At 44.8% G+C, this 22,547-nt stretch overlaps 1 long non-coding RNA gene and 1 pseudogene across 4 annotated transcripts, besides 6 other annotated features; one reads left to right on the top strand and one right to left on the bottom strand.

Annotated features, from left to right (window-relative positions):
* Positions 3,990-4,039: an enhancer, noted in NCBI's record as "active region_17232". NCBI's record gives its function as "activates an Ori minimal core promoter by ATAC-STARR-seq in GM12878 lymphoblastoid cells {active_cell/tissue: GM12878}" and the evidence as "EXISTENCE:reporter gene assay evidence [ECO:0000049][PMID:35858748]".
* Positions 6,877-7,126: an enhancer, noted in NCBI's record as "active region_17231". NCBI's record gives its function as "activates an Ori minimal core promoter by ATAC-STARR-seq in GM12878 lymphoblastoid cells {active_cell/tissue: GM12878}" and the evidence as "EXISTENCE:reporter gene assay evidence [ECO:0000049][PMID:35858748]".
* Positions 7,034-22,144, top strand: LOC112268431 (uncharacterized). Of its 4 annotated transcripts, XR_002959451.2 has the most exons (7): positions 7,034-7,192; positions 9,975-10,043; positions 13,029-13,103; positions 16,649-16,789; positions 17,453-17,536; positions 20,664-20,768; positions 21,474-22,144. It is a non-coding gene; the product is annotated as an uncharacterized LOC112268431 (long non-coding RNA). The 4 variants fall into 4 exon arrangements; XR_002959455.2 differs by lacking the exons at positions 20,664-20,768; positions 21,474-22,144 and adding an exon at positions 18,494-19,520; XR_002959453.2 differs by lacking the exons at positions 9,975-10,043; positions 13,029-13,103.
* Positions 7,287-7,436: an enhancer, noted in NCBI's record as "active region_17230". NCBI's record gives its function as "activates an Ori minimal core promoter by ATAC-STARR-seq in GM12878 lymphoblastoid cells {active_cell/tissue: GM12878}" and the evidence as "EXISTENCE:reporter gene assay evidence [ECO:0000049][PMID:35858748]".
* RNU6-451P (RNA, U6 small nuclear 451, pseudogene) lies at positions 9,469-9,568 on the bottom strand (annotated as a pseudogene).
* Positions 12,337-12,476: an enhancer, noted in NCBI's record as "active region_17229". NCBI's record gives its function as "activates an Ori minimal core promoter by ATAC-STARR-seq in GM12878 lymphoblastoid cells {active_cell/tissue: GM12878}" and the evidence as "EXISTENCE:reporter gene assay evidence [ECO:0000049][PMID:35858748]".
* Positions 13,597-13,816: an enhancer, noted in NCBI's record as "active region_17228". NCBI's record gives its function as "activates an Ori minimal core promoter by ATAC-STARR-seq in GM12878 lymphoblastoid cells {active_cell/tissue: GM12878}" and the evidence as "EXISTENCE:reporter gene assay evidence [ECO:0000049][PMID:35858748]".
* Positions 18,156-18,295: an enhancer, noted in NCBI's record as "active region_17227". NCBI's record gives its function as "activates an Ori minimal core promoter by ATAC-STARR-seq in GM12878 lymphoblastoid cells {active_cell/tissue: GM12878}" and the evidence as "EXISTENCE:reporter gene assay evidence [ECO:0000049][PMID:35858748]".
* Positions 22,145-22,547: the final 403 nt, after the last annotated feature.

The raw sequence follows: 22,547 nt of genomic DNA, 5'->3' as shown, positions 1-22,547 counted from the left end.
TGTTGTTAGTTTAAAGTCTGTTTTATCTGATGTGTGATAGCAACTCTTGCTTTTTTGTTTTCTGTTTGCATGATAGATCTTTCTCCATCCCTTTACTTTTAACCCATGACTGTTGTTGCATGTAACATGGGTCTCATGGAAACAGCAGACAGTTGGGTCTTTTTTTCAATCCAATTTGCCACTCGGTGACTTCTTTCTTTTCTTTTTTTCTTTTCTTTTTTTTTTTGAGACAGAGTTTCGCTCTTGTTGCCCAGGCTGGAGTGCAGTGGCGCGATCTTGGCTCACTGCAACCTCTGCCTCCTGGGTTCAAGTGATTCTCCTGCCTTAGCCTCCCTAGTAGCTGGGATTACAGGCAGCTGCCACCATGCCCGGCTAATTTCTGTATTTTTAGTAGAGATGAGGTTTTGCCATGTTGACCAGGCTGGTCTCGAACTCCTAACCTCAGGTGATCTGCCTGTCTTGGCCTCCCAAAGTACTGTGTTTACAGGTGTGAGTCACCATGCCTGGCCCACTCTGTGACTTTTAAGGGGGGATATTTAGACTGTTTACATCCAAGGTTAATATTGACATGTGAGATTTTGTTCCTGTCATGATGTTGTTAGCTGGTTGCTTTGTAGTCTTGATTGTGTAGTTGTTTTACAAGGCCTGTGGCCTAAGAATGTAAGGGTGTTTTTGTAGTAGGAGGTATTGTTCTTTCATTTCCGTGTTTAAAACTCCCTTAAGGATCTTTTGTAAGCTTGGTTTAGTGGTAATGAATTCCCTTAGCATTTACTTGTCTGCAAAGGATTTTATTTCTCCTTTGCTTATGAAGCTTAGTTTGATGGGATATGAAATTCTTGGTTGGAATTTCTTTTCTTTAAGAATGCTGAAAATAGGTCCCCACTCTTCTGGCTTGGAAGGTTTCTGCTGAGAAGCCTGCTGTTAGACTGATGGGGTTCCCTTTGTACATGATCTGACCCTTTCCTCTAGCTGCCTTTAAGATTGTCATTGTTGCATTGACTTTGGCTATGTGTCTTGGGTATGGTTGTCTTGTATAGTATCTTGCAGGGGTTCTCTGAATTTCTTGAATTTGCATGTTGACCTCTCTAGTGAGATTGGAGAACTTCTCATGAATAGTATCCTCAAATATGTTTTCCAAGTTGCTTACTCTTTCTTCTTTTCTCTCAGGAATGCCAGTGAGTTATAGGTTTGGTCTTTTTATATAATCCCATATTTCTCAGAAGTTTTGTTTAATAAAAATTTTTTTTTCTTTATTTTTTCTGACTGGGTTGATTCAAAGGGTCAGTCTTCAAGCTCTGAAATTCCTTCCTCAGCTTGGTCTAGTCTGTTGTTAAGGCTCCCAATTGTATTTTGAAATTCCTGTAGTAAATTTTTCAATTCTACAAGTTCAGTTTGATTCTTTCTTAAAATAACTGTTATTTTTCAATTCTTGGATTGTTTTACTGGCTTACTTGGATTGGGTTTCCACTTTCTCTTGAATCTTCCTTGTCATCCAGATTCTGAACTCTATCTATATCTGTCATTTCAGACATTTCAATCCATTGCTGGGGAGCTAGTGTAAACCTCTGGAGGCAAGGAAATACTCTGACTTTATGAATTGCCAGAGTTCTTGTGCTGATTCTTTCTCATTGGAGAAGGCTGGTGTTTCTTTATCTTTTTGAAGTTGCTGTCATCTGCATAGGGCTTTTTGTTTATATATTCTGTTTTTCCCGTGAGGGTTGACTGTGGTGTATATTGTGTATAGTTGATTGACTTTGTTTCTGGGTGCTTCCATGGGGCCAAAGCTCTGTACTTGTTTCTTAGTTGTGGCTAATTTCCTGTATTTTGTTTCACAGGCGATGTGTGTTGAAGGAATTTATTTTTGTTTGGTGGTGTAATTCAGGCTGTGATCCAGTCAATGGTGCTTAAGAGTAAGGGCCAGCAGACAGGTCTTACTCAGCTATGTGCTTTTTTTTGTATTTCAGTGTGTTTGCTGCAGTGCTCTGGGGAAGGGGAGTTGGGGGGATGAGAAATGACCCTCTCACCAAGTTTATTTCTGGGCCTTGGCTCCAAGGCCCAGGAGGGCTGTACTTCCCCCTTAGGGGTGGTCCAAGCTAAAGGTTAGGTCACCGGGAGACCTGGAAACTTCCTGGGGGCCTGCTGGTTCTCTGTGCTTGGCAGAGTCAGGGCAGGTTGTAGGTATGTCTGTGGGTGGTCTGTTGATGCAGTGGGTCAGGGCGGAGGATTCCCTGGCAGGGTGGTTGTGCTGTGTGTGGGCAGCTGGTTGGCGCCTGTGGCCTGGGGTTTTTACCCAGCAGACTGTTGTGGGACTGTGCAGCTCATGCTCCCCCAGATGGATCACCCACCACTGTCTGCCCCTGGGGCAGGCCTGACCAGCTAGTTTTACCCTTAGCCTTTTGTGCTCAGATCACTGGGTTATTAGGTGTTCTGGGCCATGGGGCTCCCTTGGGCAGAGGCTGCGGCTGACCTACACCCTACCTGGATGGGTCTTGTGAGGGATACATGCCAAGCTCCTGCACTGGTGCACGAACCTGTGCCTTCCTCTTCTCAGTGTCTGAGAGTGGGGGCTCCTCTACCACTCGAGCTCAGGCTACAGATCCCAGCTCAATACCCCTGAGCAGTGTACTCAAACCCTGGGCAACTGGGGCCAGGACCGTGGCTTTGTCCTCTAGTTCCTCTAGGTTGAGCACCGGCTGAGCTGGGGGCTGAACTGCTCCCAGGCCACCAGCCAAACACTCGGGCAGGGCAGTGGAGGCTGTGTTGTGTGCATACTCTTGTGGGAGCAGTGAGGCAGCGGCCCCGGGAGGGGCCAGTATACAAAGGGGCATGTAGATCAGATGCACTTCAGTCCTGCGGAAAAGGCCCTGCTCTCTCCCAGGCTGGTGGTCCTCAGGGTCTACCGTCATTCAGAGCAAGATTGAGAGCCTTGGGGGATAGGTGCCTATGGTTGTGTATCGCTGCAGCTGCCCCACAAGCAAAACCTTCTGGACTCCACAGAGGTTCCAACTCTGCCTCTGCCTACTCTTCAGACAGTTCCTCCTGCCAGTTCAAATGTCTGTGGGGGTCGCTGTGTTCTCCTGTGGCTAGGATCCCAGAGGCCTGCAACAGGAAAATGGTGCCCCACAGTTCCTTTCTTAGGTCCTGTTCAGGACTAGGATCTGGTCCTGATACTCGACAATCCCATGCAGGCTTCCCAGCTTCCTCCCTCTTCAGCCTCGATGTCTGTGTTGCCTCTCTATCCACTTTCAGTATTTTCTCTCAGAAAATCAATCCAAGATGTGATGGTTTACATGATATCTTGGTTTCTGTCAGTGGGAGAAATGTTTCCTGGCTGCATCTAGTTGGCTGTCTTGTCCTCACTCCCACAATGAACTTTTAATGTTGATTTTGTATCCTGCGATTTTATGAAATTCGTTTATTAGTTCTAACAGTTTTTTGATGGTGTTTTTAGGGTTTTCTATATGTAAGATCATGTCATTTACAAACAGACAATTTTTCTTCTTCCCAAGCCTGGTTCTTAAACGGATCCTATTTTTTCCTGTTTCTTTTTATTTCCTCCCAACCCTTTGCTTCTCACATAATCAACTCTGAAGATTTTTAAAGTTAGGATCTACAAGTTAACAAATATCTTGACTCAAGTTGGCCTAAATAATGAGAATATGTTCACCCTGAGGTTGGTGGTTCCTCTCGTGGTCATAAGATGACTGCTGGCAGCAGCTCAGAGACAGGGCCTTGTTTAGAGCCGCAGGGTGAGGAAGACTGGCTGGTTTTGCACAGAAGCTCCAGGAAAACTCCTTGCATGTCATCAGTGCAAACTGGCTTAGTCCTGACCATCCATGAGCGAGTGACCAGGGAGGAAGACAGATGACCACAACTGGCTTGGAGCAGTCATCTGAGGCAGAGGGGATTTGCAGAGTCAACCAGAGTGTCCTCTCTCTTTAAGCCAAGTGCTCTGTCATAGGTCTTTTACTCGCCTTACCACTTAGGTTTGTGTTTATTCTGAATCTTAACCAAGAATCTGATATGTTCCCCATAGTGTAAAGATCCTCATTCCTTTTTTTTGAGATGGAGTCTTGCTCTTGTCACTGACTGGAGTGTAATGACATGATCTCGGCTCACTGCAACTTCCGCCTCCCAGGTTCAAGTGATTCTCCTGCCTCAGCCTCCTGAGTAGCTGGGATTACAGGTGCACACCACCACACCTGGCTAATTTTTGTATTTTTAGTAGAGATGGGGTTTCACCATGTTGGCCAGGCTGATCTTGAACTCCTGACCTCAAGTGATCCTCCCACCTCGGCCTCCCAAAGTGCTGGGATTATAGGCATGAGCCACTGTGCCTGGCCTGGAATGATTTTTTTGAAAGACTCCAGGAAGGAGTACTATTGACTAGGGCATGGGGTTTAGAATCAAAGGGTTATTTCTGAACCACAAGAGTTCTAATCCTCCCAACAGCCATCTGAGGAACACCAAAGTGCTTTGTTCTTTCAAGGGAGTCAGAGAAGTCAGCACATTTGGGCCACTCTCTTGCTTAGGTTAACTTGCCCCATAATGGTTGGGAGCAAAAGAGAGCAGCACTCTGGAGAGATGGTTCTGCTGGGAGGGAGCACATCCTGCTTCAGTGAGACGTGTGACACACAAGTGACAAGTCAGAGCCAGAGAGAGAGGGTGGGGGAGGGAGAGAGAGGGAGAGGGAGGGAGAAGGCAGAGAGAGGGAGAGACCCACGCATGTGCAGGACCTGCATGTGCCTGTCCACCGGTGAAGATGTCCTCATTGGCGTGCTGGGATGTGTACCCAATTTGTGGGGAGAGAAACGCAAGAACGCAAGCCAGGGGTGGGGGGTGCAGGAGAAGAAGGATAGAAGCCTCGTTGACCCACATTTTTCATTATTTGGGCACAGAACCCTTATGTCCTGGGATTCCTCTTAAACAGTCAGCCAGGCGCAGTGTCTCACACCCGTAATCCCAGCACTTTGGGAGGCTGAGGTGGGTGGATTGCCTGAGGTTAGGAGTTTGAGACCAGTCTGGCCAACATGGTGAAACCCCATCTCTACTAAAAATACAAGAAAAATTAGCCAGATGTGGTGGCGTGTGACTGTAGTCCCAGCTACTCGGGAGGCTGAGGCAGGGGAATTGCTTGAACCAGAGAGGTAGAGGTTGCAGTTAGCCAAGATCATGCCACTGCACTACAGCCTGGGTGACAGAGCGAGACTCTGTATCAAAAACAAAACAAAACATAACAAACAAACCAAAAAACAGTCAGAAGTCAGATTCAGTGGAACATGATTTGGAAAGCATCATTCTGGATCACGGTACCCCTGGGGCCCCTGAATCCTCACCTGCTTTTGGGCTCTGCTCACCTTAAGCCCTAGATTCTAGCATCCCTGGGGCTCCCAGCTGCCTCCCTGTCTCTGCCCCACAGTTCGGCTCAGAGTTCTGGTCCCTGGTTTTAGTTCATGTCCTACTTTCATTCTCTCTTTGCTCCAATTTATCTTTAACTTTGTACTGATACATTTCAGTATTTTAAAAAGTCACTTCAAATCTTTCTTGAATAATATCAGAGTATGAGTGAAAAAAATCACTGTGTACAAACATAAATGTAGCTGGATCTTCATCTCACCCCTTAAGACCTAGATAATCTTGGTTCTCATCCTCTTGGCCCATCCCATGAGAATCATTTCTGAGCTCCACTGCCTGGACATCTCTAGGTCATTGATTTTGTTAGGTACATTTTCTACTTCCCCATGACTGCAGGTGAGAGTTTTACAGAACTTTTACTACTATATAACAAGGGTCTCCTTCCTCCAGATTCCACTAGTGTTTCTCTCGCTTTCTCATACACTGCACTGACATCTTCTGGAACACCTTTAGGCTTCCATCCACTGCTCTGTCCCACAGCCAAATGCCCCATGTTTTATGTTTTTGTTATAACTGCATCCTACTTCAAAATCTGTTCTAGTTATACTACTGTGAAAAAAAAAACTACCCTAAAGCAGTGATTTAAAACAATAAAAGTCTTATTTTATTTCGTGATACACCTGCAGTTTGGACAGAGCTCAGTGGAGATGGTGTGTGTCTGCTCTAGATGGGTATCTCCTGGCAGCTCGACCAGGGCTGCAGCATCAACTTCCAATATGGCGCACCACATGGCTGGCTGGCTGGCTGGGGCCCTCCTGTGGTTTAAGACCTGGTCTTAATATCAGCATAGCATTGCTTCTGCCATATTCAAACATTCTGTTGGTCAAGCAGTCACATATCCCAGATTAAAGGAAAGGGGACACAGACTCCACCTGTCAATGGGAGGAGTGTCAAATTCTGGGGATATTTTTTAAAAGCCTTATATCTGTACTATCTTTAAAAGCTTGGCTATTTTTACCAACTTGGCTCCTGCCTCTGGCCCCAGTGGTCCAGAGGTTTCTCTTTTTCCTCCCTGCCTGCTTTCCAGAAATTTCTAAGGGCATTCCCCTGACTTTATGATGTAGAGCATTTCAGCTTCCTCCAACCTATATCCAAATGCTTGGGGTCTAACTTGTCCAGTCAAGGTCACAATGTGCCCCACCAACTCATAGGCCTGAGAAAGGCTTGGAAGTTTCTGTCTTTCCCTTTTTTTTTTTTTTCCCATGGCCATGTCTGCAAGGGGAGGAGGCAAACAGAGTTTTACTTCTCTCTAACATCAACTATGTTACTTCACCTAGAAACAACTTCAGTCAGCTTTGGTCAAATAGAGTTTTCTGCCCTCTTTCCTTTGCATAAACACATGATCCCCTGACTTCCATGGACTTCTTGGAGTTGGCCTCCTGTTCCTCCTCCTTGGCCTGTACCCTCTTCTGGTCCTCCAGTCATGATTCTGTAAGTCCTTCTTAATTCCCGGCTACCATATTTTCACAAGAGTTGAGAAACCCCACTATCTGTGGCCTAGTTTTCACAAATACAGAGGCATTCAGAAATATTAATACTTTCACTTCCCTTTTCTACTTTCTGGGTGAGTCAGTTCAGACTTTTTGTTCTGGTCCCTGGGAGCCATGTTGGAAAGCCCACATTGGGCCTGAGAGTTCATAGATGTTGACGGATGGTGTGTCAGCCCCCATGGGGCTCTGCAGCCTAGAAAGTAGCAGGACCAGGAAGTCAGCAGGTGGAGGTGGCAAGTGAACAGAGGATGCGTCTTTTTCTCCCTTCCTTTGTCATCTTTCTCCATGTGGGTTTTTATATTTATTTACTTATACTTAGTTTTATTCCAAAACTTCTTTGAACTGGGTCATAAAGCCAACTGCATATTGTAAAGTAGAAGAAACTAAGCTCTGAGAAATCAGGTAAAAAGTGGCAAGTGATAGCTGGTGATGGAACGCTACCTATCCTGGCTTACCCTTTTGCAAATGTTACCTGGGTGAGACAAAGACATTTGAACCCTGAGGTTTCTTGTATTGGTTTTGCTTTGTTTTTCTTGGTATAGACCTAGGAGTGTAATTGCCCGGTCATAGGGTGGCTTTAGTAGACACTGCCAGTTTTCCAAAGTGGGTGTCCTAATTGTCACTCCACTAGCCACGTATGAGTGTTTCAAACAGCATATTCTTCTCAACATTTGATGCTAGGTTTTTTTTTTTTTTGTAGATCTTAGCCATTTTGGTGAATAGATAGTGGTATCTTGGCATAGTGGTATCTCATTGAGCTTTTACTTTGCATTTCCGTGAAAAACAATGCTTTTGAGCACTTTTTGATATGTTTATTGGTCATTTGAGTATTTTGTTATGAAATGCCTGTTATTTTGCCTATTTTTTTAAAAAAAATTGGGATTTTTGTGTTCTAATTACTAGACATTCTTCCTACATGTTCTACATAGAAGTCTTCTGTTGGATATGTGTTGTGAATATCTTCACATATTCTGTGGCTTTTTTTCACTCTCTTAATAGTGTCTTTTGATGAACAAAAGTTCTTAGTTTTAAGTAAGTCTAATTTGTCAGTGGTTTCTTTCATAGTTAGTGTTTTGGGATCTTTTGCAAGAAATCTTTGCCTACCTTAAGCCAAGAAGATATTATACTACCTGCTCTAGAAGCTTTACTATTTTATCTTTCATATTTAGGTCTATGATTCATTTGAAATAAATTTTTGTGTATGGTATGAGGTAGGGTGTTCAATTGCTCCAACAATACCATTTCATGAAGTGACCATCGTTTTCCCCACTGAAATGTGGCGGTGTCTTTGTTGTAAATTTGGTGACCTTATGTGTGTGTTTCTCTTTCTTGTAGTCTCTGTTGATTTATATGTTTATCTTTATGCCCATATCATGTTGTCTTAGTTATTGTAACTTTATATGAAGTTAAAACATTGTGATTCTTTTTCAAGACTCTTTTGGCTAACTTTGGTCTTTTGCATTTTCATTTATATTTTAAAATCAATTTGTCAATTTCCACAAACAATTCCACTTGAATTTTATTAAAATTATATTGAATCTATGAATCAGTTGGGGATAACTTACATATTAATATTTAGTCTTCAATCCACAAATATACCTTTCCATTTATTTTGGCTTTCTTTAATTTCTCTCAGCAAAAGTTCTATGATTTTCAGTGTAGTGTTCTGGAACATCTTTTGTTAGATTTACCTTTATTGTTAGTGGTTTTGATGCTTTTGAAAAGGATATTGTTTTTCTATTTTTATTTAAACTTATAATTTGCTAGTATACAAAAATACAATTGATTTTTGCATATTAACCTTGAATCCAGATACTTTACTGAAGTTACTAATTAATTCTAATAGTTCATTTCTTTAGATTTTCCAAGTATATAGTCATCTGCAAATAATGGTAGTTACATTTCCTCCCTTTTGGGTTTATTCTTTTCATTTCTTTTTATCACCTGATTGCATTATCTAGGATTTCTAGTAAGTGTTAAATGGAAATGGTGACAGTAGACATTTTTGTCTTGTTCTCAAATTGAGTGGGGAAGTATTTAGTATTTCACATTTAAGTATAGTGTTAGCCATAGGGTTTTGTTTGTTTATATACTTCATTATATTAAAAAAGTTACTTTCTATTCTTAGTTTTCTGAGAGTTAAAAATCATGAACAGATATTTTATTATATTTTAGCTTTTTCTGGATCTATTGAAATTATCATATATTTTTCCCCTTTATTTTGTCAATCTGGTGATATACATTTCCTGATTTTTTTTTTTTTTTTTTTTGAGACGAGAGTCTTGCTCTGTTGCCCAGGTTGGAGTGCAATGGCACAATCTTGGCTCACTGCAACCTCCACCTCCTAGGTTCAAGCAATTCTCCTGCCTCAGCCTCCTGAGTAGCTGGGATTACAGGCACGCACCACCATGTCTGGCTAATTTTTGTATTTTTAGTAGAGACAGGGTTTCATCATGTTGGCCAGGCTGGTCTCGAACTCCTGACCTCGTGACCTGCCTCAGCCTCCCAAAGTGCTGGGATTACAGGTGTGAGCCACGGCACCCGGCCTCCTGATTTTTTTTTAATGGAGTGTTTTACAAATTTATGTGTTATCCTAGTGCAGGGGCCATGCTAATCTTCTCTGTATTGTTCCGATTTTAGTGTATGTGTTGCCGAAACAAGCATGATTTCCTGATTTTTAAATGTTAAAGAATTCTTGCATTCCTGGAATAAGTCTCACTTAGTCATGATGTATTATTCTTTTTACCTATTGCTGGATTTGACTTGCTAATGTTTTGTTGCAGTTTTCCCATCTCTGTCCACGAGAGATAGTAACCTCTACTTTTCATTTTTGTAATGCTTTTGTCAGGTTGTATATCAGAATTATGCTATCCTTCTCTAGTGAGTTAGAGTGTGTTCCTTTTTTCTTTCTTCACTGGAAGAGTTTGTGTAAGATTGGTTATTTTCTTTCTTAAATGTATGTTTTGAAGAACTTGCAAGTGAAGTCATCTGGGCCTGGAATGTTTTGGCTAGGAAAGGCATCTGGGAATCTTGATGTTTACTTTCTCTTTGTATTTTTTTTTCCTTAAGATGTTTGCAGTGGTCCAGAAGAAGGAGATTTCCTGTGAGATCTTTTCCAATCACTTCAAGGAGAATAAGGTGGAGATAGCAAATGCAATAACAAAGCCATTTCCTTTTCTTGAAAGCCTCAGAGACAATTCCTTTATCACTGAAAAAATGTATACTATAAGTGAAGTTTATTACGTCACCCACTGTAGTCCGGCCCCCACATTAATTTATATTTGGCATCCTGGATTCAAAGTTTAGTATATTGCTAACTGCCTGATAGGCCTTTTATGCCTTTTGTGGGAAGACCCTTTTCTGTTGGTTAATTATTGTATAAGGTAGAAGGTAATGGGGTAAACAGATGTCATTAAAGATGACACTTCTATTTCTTTTTCTTTTTTTTTTAGAGACAGCATCTCACTCGGTGGCCCAGGATGGAGTAAATTGGCACAATTATGGCTCACTGCAGCCTAGGTCTCCTGGGTACAAGCAAACCTCTCACCTCAGCCTCCCGGGTAGCTGGGAGATTACAGGTGCATGCCACCACATCTTTCTAATTTTTTTTTTTTTTTTGGTAGAGATGGGGTCTTGCTATGTTACTCAGGCTGGTCTCAAACTCCTAGCCTCAAGTGAACCTCCTACTTCAGCCTCCCAAAGTGTTGAGATTACAGGCGTGAGCCACCTTGCCTGGACAAGACACTCTATTTCTAACTGAAGCCCTGTTCTTTTTTTTTTTTTTTTTTTTTTTTTGAGACAGAGTCTTGCTCTGTCACCCAGGCTGGAGTGCAGTGGCACAATCTCAGCTCACTGCAATCTCTGCCTCCAGGGTTCAAGCAATTCTCCTGTCTCAGTCTCCCGAGTAGCTGGGACTACAGGCGCCCACCACCACGCCTGGCTAATTTTTGTATTTTTAGTAGTGACAGGGTTTCACCATATTGGTCAGGCCAGTGTTGAACTCCTGACCTCAGGTGATCCACCCGCCTTGGCCTCCCAAAGTGCTGGGATTACAGGCGTAAGCCACTGTGCCTGGCCACTCTGTTCTTTTGTAGCAAGTATTGGGGTGGGAGTGGATGGTAATGGTGACATGTCTGGAGTGAAATTGAAACGGATGTGCTCTACAAATATGTAGTGATTTATACAATATACAAGAATAAAACAAAATTAAGATAGCTAAGATGATGGAAGCAGTATTTCTTTGTAATGTCTATTTATGTCAGATGAAACCTCCAGAGAATTGTGCCATTATAATTGTTATCAAACAAATTTCTGCCTTGCTATTGTCTTGTCTAAAGTGTTTAAATTTTCTTGGGTAGTTCTGGAGCCTTGGAATTCAGGTGTTTTGAACAGTGCCCTGAGGTACAGAGAAGGAAGCCATGTCTTCAGTGTGTGATTGTACTCTTCCTGTTGTGTTCTTTATGGCAAGGGAAGAACCATCTCCCTATCTCTGGGAGCCTGTTCAGGACTTCTCATACCACAGGGGGAAGGTGGGGAGTGTGGGGGCAGTGACTGCTGCGCAGACAACAAAATCACCATAAGATTTATTCCCACGGCATCCTGGGCAGGATGAGAGCTCAAAAGACAAGAGGAAGGGTTGACTTGTTTTTCTAACGCAGTGGATCAAATATTTAAGGAGTTCTAGAATATTACATGAAAAATAGTAGCCTACACTGAGAACAATGGAAGTATTCTATGCAATTACATTGTCAATCTTTTTTTAACTTTAAAGCTATTATTTTGTATACTTTTACCATTGAATTTTTTAACAGTATTCTCAAGAAGCCCGTATAAACTCGATTCCTATACAGAGAGTTGTGTATCAGGTTCTCTGCCACCTGGAGAAGGTGTTTGATTGTTCAGTTCTGTCAGTCCTGTTCAGCAGGATTAACCTGAAGGAGTATCCCGATTTAATTGAGATTCATAAAAGCTTCAAAAAGGGTAATCAATTCTCTCCCCTGTCTTTTGGGGTCTAGGTCTGGTTTTCATTCTTTCACTTGGTCAGTCGCTCATTTAGCAAGTATTCATGAAATGCTCACATGCGGCCGGGCGCGGTGGCTCACACCTGTAATCCCAGCACTTTGGGAGGCCGAGGCGGGCGGATCACTTGAGGTCGGGAGCCTGACCAACATGGAGAAACTCCATCTCTACTAAAAATACAAAATTAGCCGGGCACGGTGGCACATGCCTGTAATCCCAGCTACTCGGGAGGCTGAGGCAGGAGAATCGCTTGAACCTGGGAGGCGGAGTTTGCAGTGAGCTGAGATCGCACCATTGCACTCCAGCCTGGGCAACAAAGAGTGAGACTCCTTTAAAAAAAAATAATAAAGAAATGCTTACATGTCCCAGGCCCTGTGCTAGGCGGTGTGAATATAACTAACCTGCGCCCTGGCCTCCTTTCGTTGGCAGTCTCTGAGGACCTTGGTCCAGGTGTCTCAGGACATTTCCCAGTGCTGCAATATTTGCTCCCTGATTGTAGACTTCAGAGAGTCCTCCCTTTGTTCCTTGGGTCTGGGCCACCCCTGGGGAAGTCTGTCTAGTTCCTCCACCATGTCCTCTCTCTTTGGGAGCCTCTCATCTTTCCAGACCCAATTTAGCCAAAACTCTGCTGTTTTCTAGCCCCACCTTTAAGGCTGTTGGGTTTCTCTTACCTAGAGGCATCTCTCTAGGATCTTAGCTCTTCTCCTCGGGAAATCCCTTTGTTTCTTCTGTAAGATTTGCACAGTTCACAGAGACATTCCACTTACAGAATTTGTATGGAGATAAGCTTTCACGCCTCTCTGATCATCTTGTTGGATGATTAATTATGGTTTACAATTTTTCTACTGCTCCATCATCCTTAAAACCTGAGAGGCTCATCATCTATAGGACTTCAGTGGTTTTGTGCTGTTATTTTCTTTCTTGGCTGCCTCAGAGGAAGAAACAAGCAACACCAAGTCACAAGCCACTGAGATTCAGAGTGACTGAAGGGCTAGGAGTTTCCCACTGAATTGTAAGAACACATGGTGCTTCGTTCATGTGGTCATGAGATGGAGTTCCTGGTCACTTGCTTGCAGGCCCTAATTAATTCTTTTCTTTGTTCAGTGCTCCCCTTTTCCCAGAAAAGGGATGGAAAAGAGACAACAAAAATGCCCAGCTTTCAACCAACCTGTAAACAAGGTAATAATGTCTGGACAAAAACTTTGTTTTCTGGTCTACTAAGAAGAAAAGGAGACAGGGAACCGAGGTCTGAGGGAAGACTGCACTGCTGGGGATGGTGGCAGAGCTGGTTGAGGGTCACTTTGTGTTGATTCCAAAGTGACCTGACTCCAGCTGGAATCCAAGAGCACTCTCAAGAGGTGGCAAAAACAGACTTTCCCCCCAGTAACCCGGAGGGTAGAATGAGGATCTGAGTGTGAATTACTAGTTTATAGGAGACCTTCAGTGAGAAGCGGTGAAGGGCTAAGAAGGATGTGCCTATGGCCAACAATGTCAAAGAAGATACTCTTGGTGATGCCAGAAGAAGGGGCCAATTTAAACGTGGACATGTTGTTCAGCAGCAGGAATATTCAAAGAGAAACTTAGTCATACAGAAAGACACAAAGAGGGAGTGACGCATATGCTGAGAAGAGGATGAGGGTATTTTGAGAGAGGGAGGAAGAAGGAGGGGAAATGAAAGACAGTCAAGGACAACAATAAAAATAACCGTATTATGAACAGCTCACTGTGATGGAATGCCTGCTCCGTGGCAGCTGTGGGTTTATTGCTCATGGCTGCCTTTGGAGATTAGTATTATTTATGTGCCCATTTTGCAGATTAGGAAACTGAAACCCAGAGGGACAATGTATGGGGTTGCGTAGGTCAGATGAGAAAAGATAAACCCAGAGCCTTTGTTGTTGTGTTTTTTGGGAGGGAAGGAGGTAAAATTCAGATGTTAACCATTTTAAAGTGTGGAATTCAGTGACACTTAGTATATTCACAATGTTGTACGACCTCCTGTCTCTAGTTTCAAAACGGGTTAATCATCCCAAATGGAAACCCTATGCCCATTAACCAATTATCTAATTTCCCTCTGCCCCTAATCCCTGGCAATCAGTAATCTACTTTCCGCCTCTACAAATTTGCCTACTCTGGACAGTTCATGAAAATGGAATCACACAATATGTGGCCTTCTGTGTCTGGGCTTCCTTCACTTAATAAGATGTTTCCAGGTTTTTGCCACGTGGTAACATGAATTAGTATCTCAAGTCCTTTTGATGGCTGAATAATATTCCATCATACATCTCTACCACATTTCGTTTATTCATTCATCAGTTAATGATGGGTTGTTTCTATCTTTCCGCTATTGTGACAGAAGTTACATTCTTCCTGTTACCCAGGGAATCTAATGGAAAAGATAGAAACAGAAACATGAAACAAAAATGGGGAAATACATGCAGAAAAAAAGATCCAGGGAAAAAAGAATACAAAGAGCTGGAAGAAGTGGAGGTGACCCAAACTCTGAGTCCTCATGGAAAGGCCAATGAGAAAGCATGAACAGATGTGGAGAGGGAGGGTGTTGTGTGAAAGGGGGTGGGCATGAGGCAACCAGGACTTCACAGGAACTGAGCTAAGGGCCCTGGGCAGGGTAGCTCTGGGAACAAAGGCAGTTCACTCTGCCATTGCCAGTTACCAGAATGTCTCATGGAGGACACTCAGCAGGGTTGTCTGGCCTAGGCCCTCTCAGCCAAGGGTGCAGTGACCCAGTCCCCCACTCTCAGGGCTGGAGTCTGACTTCAAGAATCAGGCGGGGCTGGGCGCGGTGGCTCACGTCTGTAATCCCAGCACTCTGGGAGGCTGAGGTGGGCAGATCGCTTGAGGCCAGGAGTTCAAGACCAGCCTGGCCGACATGGCGAAAACCCATCTCTACAAAAAAAAAAAATATAAAAATTATCCATGCTTGATGGCACGTGCCTGAAGTCCCAGCTACTTGGGAGGCTGAGGCATGAGAATCGCTTGAACCCAGGAGGTGGATGTTGCAGTGAGCTGAGATTGCGCCACTTCACCCCACCCTGGGTGACAGAGTGAGATTCTGTCTCAAAAAAAAAAAAAAAAAAAAAAAAGATCAGGCAGCATCTGCCAGCTCCAGATGGTGAAAACTCTCTCTCTCTCTCTCTCTCTATGTATGTATGTATGTATGTGTGTGTGTATATATATATATTTATTTATTTATTTATTTTTTTGAGACGGAGTCCCGCTGTCGCCCAGGCTGGAGTGCAGTGGCGCAATCTCGGCTCACTGCAGGCTCCGCCCCCCGGGGTTCACGCCATTCTCCTGCCTCAGCCTCCCGAGTAGCTGGGACTACTGGCGCCCGCCACCTTGCCTGGCTAATTTTTTGTATTTTTAGTAGAGACGGGGTTTCACCATGTTAGCCAGGATGGTCTTGATCTCCTGACCTCGTGATCCGCCCACCTCGGCCTCCCAAAGTGCTGGGATTACAGGTGTGAGCCACTGCGCCCGGCCTCTATATGTATTTTTTAAAGACAGAGCCTCCCTCTGTTGCCCAGGCTGGAGTGCAGTAGCACAGTCATAACTCACTGCAGCGGTGAACTCCTGGCCTGAAGCGATCCTCTCATCTCAGCCCCCCAGTAGCTGAGACCATAGGCATGTACCACCACGCCCAGCTAATTTTTAATTTTTTTGTAGAGATAGGGTCTCACTATATTGCCCAGGCTGGTCTTGAACTCCTGGGCTCAAACGATCCTCCTGCCTCAGCCTCCCAAAGTGCTGGGATTACAGGCTTGAGCCACTGCACCTGGCTGTGAAGACCCTTTTCAAAGCTTGACCTGGACATGCTCAGATTCCTCATCTTTTGTTGGTGTGTTCCTCTTGATTGTGCTGTGATCCTCTGCTGTTCTTGCGCCATTCTGGAACATGCTGGGGGTAAGGGAAGAGAGGGTTGCCTCTGTGTTTATGATTGCCCTGAATTTTTAGTGTTTGCATTTGCAGTGTCTCCAAGTTCAGGATTTAAATAATAAGTCCTTATCCTCCAGGTTGCCTGGGAGGACTTCTTCCTCTTACAACCCTTAAGCACGCTTGCTACTGGTTCCTGCTGGTGCTGAGCCTGCTCGTTTTACCCATGTGTCTGCTTCACAGTTTTTCTGCCTGCATCTACTTGAATCTGGCTGCTGCCTTGGTGCTTTGAGCTTACATCCAGTGATGGCCTGTGCTGTGGTGGCTGGAGGGAAATGATGGGCATGTTCCTTCTGTGGGATAGGCTTTCTTCCCTGTTGGGTCCTTCACATAGGACCATGGCACCACTGTGCCTCCCATACAAACCCTCACCCATCATTCCTGGGGCAGGCAGCTAGGAGCTACCTTTCAGGTGCCAGATGGGCCTCTTCAAAAACCCTTCAGTACTTTTGTGCCATAACTAGCTTCTGTTTCTAGATTCTCAGTCATCTTCTTGTTTCTATTTTTCCTAATGTCCCTCATCCTTAGACCATAATGTCCATAACAAATTTTATTTCTTTGTTCAGTGTTTTATGATCACTTTTTCTGAAATGACATAGAAGAAATATAAGAGAACCCTCAGAGCTGTGGAAGGTCATTCTGATGTCATTGACAATCGGGATACATGATCAAAAAGGATATTTGATTAATTTATTAATGCATTTAAATAAAAACTTTAGGTTTTGATTTATGATGTCACAGTGCCATATTTATGAAATCATAATGTCATCTAGGGGCCATCCATTCTGGAACCAGAACAGAAACCTCTGAGCCTGTCTAGGATGTGAAGTCAACATATATAAAGCCAGAATGTTCTATCCTTGGCCCAGGTGATGCTCTTGGAACACAGCAAGCAAACACATGCACCCAAGTAGGTAAGGCTGATGATGGCCAGGTGTTTGCATGGGTGACTAGTGGTAGGCGTCTGTAGCACACACAGAAGGGGGAAGGCAGTGCTGTGTCACATGCTCAGTATCTAAGGGGAGACCCCAAGGAGTCCTGAATGACAGTAGAAAGATAGACCAATGTCCACTGCAGGCAGACATTGACGTAATGGAAAGGTATGTCTTTTAGTTGCTGTGAGGAAGACAGAAAAAGACACGGAGACACAGAGAGAACAGGACTGGAGCCTGATATGTAGGTTGGAAGAGATGTAGAAGGAGAGAGTTGGGAAGGGAAAATGGAGAATGAGGAATGCATTCTCCTGCAGCATTGCTGGAGAGGAGAGAGACAGATGCACCGGAAGACAAGAGAGAAGCTGGCTAAGTCCATGATGCAGAAATGCCTTCCTAGGGCAGAAGCCTGGGGATTGGATCCTGGTGGAAGGCTGAGCAGGAGAGAGAGAGAGAACCAGGTCTGACAAGATGGGAAGAGGCAGAGCAGGGCTTGGCTGGATCTCAGCAGGGGTCCTCGGAGAGGAGCATCACTTCCCCAGGAGCATTTCACTTCTGCTCCCAACCGCAGCGCTCAGTGTGGTCACATCTCTGTCCTTTTCCCGGCCACTGGATCTGGTGTCTCATTTTATGTTCCCTCTTCAGTGCCTAGGGAACTCGAGGCTCTCCAAGTAAAAAAGGAGAGAGGGTCAGAAGAGATGCCCAGCAGACTGCCACATGGTAGACAAGGTACTGCAATTGAATCCTGCCCTTTAAGTGACCGATTACCTGATTATCTCATGGTGTGGAGGGAGGAAGGGCTTCTCTTCCTCCCCTCCCTCCCCGACAGGAGCCCAGCCTCTGGTTGCTTTCAAATTTGTGAAGGAAACAAGCAGGATGAGGCATGTGATGTGCGCGGGCTGCAACACTGTGAGAGGCACTCACTGGCAGGACCCCGAGAGTACATGCCCTAAGTCTTCCAGGCAGGAGAGAAAGGAGAGGCGAACGCCTCCCTGGAGCATGGCACCCTGGGTGGAGAAGCTGAGGAGCGCGAGTATAGAAGAGGTGGATGATTGGGCCATGGAATAGCAAGTTTTAGGAGGGAGCCCAGTTTTACCTAAGTGGACATGATGTCTAAGCTTTCCCAGGTTGGTGGAGGATTGACAAGGAAATAATGTTTGTCCTATTTGCTAGAAGTTGCCACAAGATCAGGCAAACAAGGTCTGTGACCATCATATTTGCAAGGAAGAAAGGTCATTGTAGACAACCTTCAGAATGGGGAGGGCAAGGGAAAGGGGCCCTGGAGGTAGAGTTAAAGCCAAAAAAGGAATGGAGGGACACGACTTTTCAGACAAGGAGAAGACACAGGAAGAAAATGCTTGGAAGGGTCAAGGCAGACAGAGGATCAAAGGAAGCCCCAGAAACACAGAGACATGGGGGAGGAAGTGAGAGACATGGCAGAGGAGACATAAACTAAAAACTCAAATGAGGGACAGTGAGAAAAATCATACAGAGAGAGAAACATGAGGTCAATGTAAATACCAGGAACAGAGAAAGTGAGGGAGAGGCACGAAGAAGCCAGGAAGTGAGAGTGAGTGTAAAGAGCAAATAAAAAATTGGTGGGGGTCAGTGTGGCAGCGAGAGAGGAGACACATTCTTCCATGAAACCACATCCTCATCCTTTTCCCCTTCCTCCTCCTCTTCCAGAGTTCCCTTTCTGGTAAAATGGCCATTACTGTCAAGTTTTCTCAAGCAAGAAATTCAGGAATCTTGCCAGGCAAGTGGCTCACACCTATAATCCCAGCACTTTGGAAGGCTGAGGCGGGCAGATTACCTGAGGCTGGGAGTTCGAGACCAGACTGACCAACATGGAGAAACCCTGTCTCTACTAAAAATAAAAAAATTAGCCGGGCATGGTGGTGCATGCTGGTAATCCCAGCTACTCGGGAGGCTGAGGCAGGAGAATCGCTTGAACCTGGGAGGCGGAGGTTGTGGTGAGGGGAGATCGCACCATTGCACTCCAGCCTGGGCAACAAGAGTGAAACTGTGTCTCCAAAAAAAAAAAAGAAAAACTCAAGAATCCTCCTGAGTTCTTCCCTCCCTCAACCCCTATGCCACATCAACCATCGAGCCCGGTGCACTGTACTTGGTGGCATTTGCCACCTGATCATTTTTCTCTATCTCTGATGCTATGATGCTAATCAGATCTCTGATAACTCTCCCATGAACTTCAGCTGCTATATCGTACCAAAGTTCAGGTATGTTTGTGCTGTCTTCCTGCCTAACCTCCAATGACTGGCATGATGATACCTGGGTTTAAGTTGATCCCTTTACTAGACTTCCAAGGCTGGGCAATGAGGGCCCTTCCTATTTCTCCAGCCTCTATTCTCTCACTCCAAGAAGTCACGCTGGCTTCTTTTAGTTACTCAAATTACTTTGCCCAAGCTGTCTTCTATCAGGGTCTGTTTTCTTGGCCTCTATCCTACTCATCTTCTCCCTAATCTGGCTACCTCCTGCTCACGTGATATTTCTTCCCATAGGCCTCTTCCTGTCTCTTGGACTGGCCTGTCTGTTCCAGAGCACTTCTTGCTTGCTGTGAGATAAAACTCCTGCCTCGTTGTGATCGTGTGCTTAGCATGCGCTCTCTCTGGACCACAGCTGCTTGTTCTCGCTGTGTCCTTCCAACCTAGCATGACAGTGTCTGGCACATAATAAAGAGCACACTTCATATTGTCAGGAAATGAAAGTATTCATATTTCTGTGCCCTAAAAACTGGACATATATTTTGGCGAACATGACATCACTGATGTATTTGTATGGAAAGCTTCACAAAAATAGTTCTAAGAATTATATTTATTTATTTTTAATTATTTATTTTTGAGATGGAGTCTTGCTCTGTCATCCATGCTGAAGGGCGAGTGCAGTGGTGCGATCTCGGCTCACTGCAACCTCTGCTTCCTGGGCTCAAGCAATTCTACTGCTTCAGCCTCCTGAGTAGCTGGGATTACAGGCATGCACCACTATGCCCCACAAGTTTTGTATTTTTAGTAGAGATGGAGTTTTGCCACGTTGGCCAGGCTGGTTCAAACTCCCTACCTTGGGTGATCTGCCTGCCTTGGCCTCCCAAAGTGCTGGGATAACAGGTGTGAGCCACCACACCCAGCCTAAGAATTATATTTATATGTACATGTACACGTAATAAGCTACTTTTGTGGAAATAAGTATAAGAATTAAGAACTTAAGGTCTTTATTTATTTATTTTTTAATTAATTAATTATTTTTTTTTGAGAGGGAGTCTCACTCTGTTGCCCAGGCTGGAGTACAGTGGCACAATCTCGGCTCACTGCAAGTTCCGCCTCCCGGGTTCATGCAATTCTCCTGCCTCAGCCTCCCAAGTAGCTGGGATTATAGGCGCCCGCCACCACGCCCAGCTAATTTGTTGTATTTTTAGTAGAGGCGGGGTTTCACTGTGTTAGCCAGGATGGTCTCAATCTCCTGACATCGTGATCCACCCCCCTTGGCCTCCCAAAGTGCTGGGATTACAGGCATGAGCCACTGTGCCTGGCCCTTAAGGTCTTTATTAATGATTAAGTTAATTAAGTGAAGATCACAAAATTTGGCCAAGACAATGATCAGTTAGTAAATAAGAATGACAGGTAAAGGGAAAAGAGAAAAACAAAATAGAGTTCAAGGTAAAAAGATAAACATAGAGAGACAGAAAGTAAGAAACATATCTGGAGTGAGGCAGTATAAAAGAAGGTGAAATTTAGTGACAGAGTGATCCTCTGAAGTGGGTAGAGAGAGAGGAAGAGGGGTACCACAAGGCTTTTTTGAGGGAGAAAGATGAAAATTCTTCAAGGATCACTATTTGTTCTAGGGGCAAAGCTATCCAGATCCAAAAATTGGGTGCAACCTAGTTTTGTGCTCCCGGAAGACATCCAGATGGCAAGGAAGGCGTGTAACCAAGCCCCTGAAATAATCGGTAAGGCTGGTGGAGGGTGTAATAATCGGTAAGGCTGATGCGGTGACACTGTGTGAGTCACAGCAGAAGTGACAGGCTGGGGGTGTGGTCAGAGTCCCACGTGGTGGCCCAGGGAGCCCAGATGAATGCTGGGAGACGTGGATTCTGGTGTTTAGCTCAGGGAGCTTCTGCACGACAGAGGAAAGTTGGTGGGGAAATGGAAAAGTACAGAGACACCTGGGAGAGGGAGAAGTGGCTCAGAGGAGACGTGGAGGGCAGGTATGTAATGCAAGAAAGCCAGGCGAGAGTGACAGAGGTGCAAGGAGGCAAAAGAGGCAGAAACAGAAATGCCAGAGAGGCGTTTACAGAGATTGACAAACAAAGAGGGAGAAGCTGCAAGAAAGAAGCAGGAGTGGAGAAATGGACAGAGACAATGGGAAGGGAAAGAAGAGAGAGGAAGTAAGGAAATGGAGAGCAAGACACGCAAAGCTGGCCACTATGGCCATTTGCCCCCAGCCTGAGGGTCTAGTTTCAGTGCCTGGAGCACCAGGACCCTGCGGCTCAGCATTCCGCAGGAGCACTGCAACTGTGCTGGGCAGGGACATTCCTACCTGCAAGTCACACAAGCTCCTGGGTCTTTTCTGGTGTCCCTAATTGTGCGTTTCCTGCGGTGTTGGCTCCTGCATCCCACACTGAGACCCTAAAGGATTTTGTTCCTTCGTGCAGCGATCAGCAGTGAAGACTCTGATTCCTGTGAGGCAAAGAGCCCCTGGAAGCCTCCATCTCAGCATCAATGCCCAGGCCTGGTGAGAAGGGCAAGGACCATTCGTGTGGGGCTCCAGGACCTCAGACGCCTGAGTTTAGAGTGTCTGCTTCCTAATGCATTTCAACTGGAGTGCACTCCATAGCCATGATGCAGTTATCCCTGGTGCTCTTTTTGTGCCCTCACCTCACCTGGCACTTTGGGAAATGGGAGAGGCAACCTTCATTGAATATGTGTGCTCTGGTATTGACATTAGGTTAGAAAGAAGCTAGCATATTTCTGTTGCTTTTCCCTTTCACATTGGTCTGGTTTGAATTTGTGTCCCTACCCAAATCTCATGTGGAATTGTAATCCCCAAGGTTGGAGGAGGGGCCTGGCGGGAGGTGATTGACTCATGGGGGTTGACTCCTCTCTTGCTGTTCTTATGATAGTGAGTGAGCTCTCATGAAATCTGGTTGTTTACAAGTGTGTGGCACTTCCCCCTTCACACACTCTCTCCTGCCTCACCATGTGATGATGTACCTGCTTCTCCTTCACCTTCCGCCATGATTGTAAGTTCCTAGAGGCCTCCCCAGCCGTGCTTCCTGTACAGCCTATGGAACTATGAGTTAATTAAACCTATTTTCTTCATAAATTACCTAGTCTCAGGTAGTTCTTTATAACAATGCGAGAGCAGACTAATACAGGAAATTGGTACTGGGAGAGGGGCATTGCTATAAAGATACCTGAAAATGTGGAAGCAACTTTGGAACTGGGTAATGGGCAGAGACTGGAACAGTTTGGAGAGCTTAGAAGAAGACAGGAAGATGAGAGAAAGTTTGGAACATGCTAGAGACTTGTTAAATTGTTGTGACCAAAATGCTGATCATCATATGGACAGTGAAGTCCAGGCTGAGGTGGTCTCAGAAGGAGATGAAGAACTTATTGGGAAATGGAGTAAAGGTCACTCTTGCTATGCTTTAGCAAAGAGACTGGTGGCATTGTGCCCCTGTTCTAGGAATCTATGGAACTTTGAACTTGAGAGAGGTGATTTAGGG

The sequence above is a fragment of the Homo sapiens genome, chromosome 2, assembly GCF_000001405.40.
Source record: "Homo sapiens chromosome 2, GRCh38.p14 Primary Assembly".
Lineage (NCBI taxonomy): Eukaryota > Metazoa > Chordata > Mammalia > Primates > Hominidae > Homo > Homo sapiens.
Note: the sequence above shows the minus strand (reverse complement) of the source record. Positions and strands in the feature narration are given on the sequence as shown.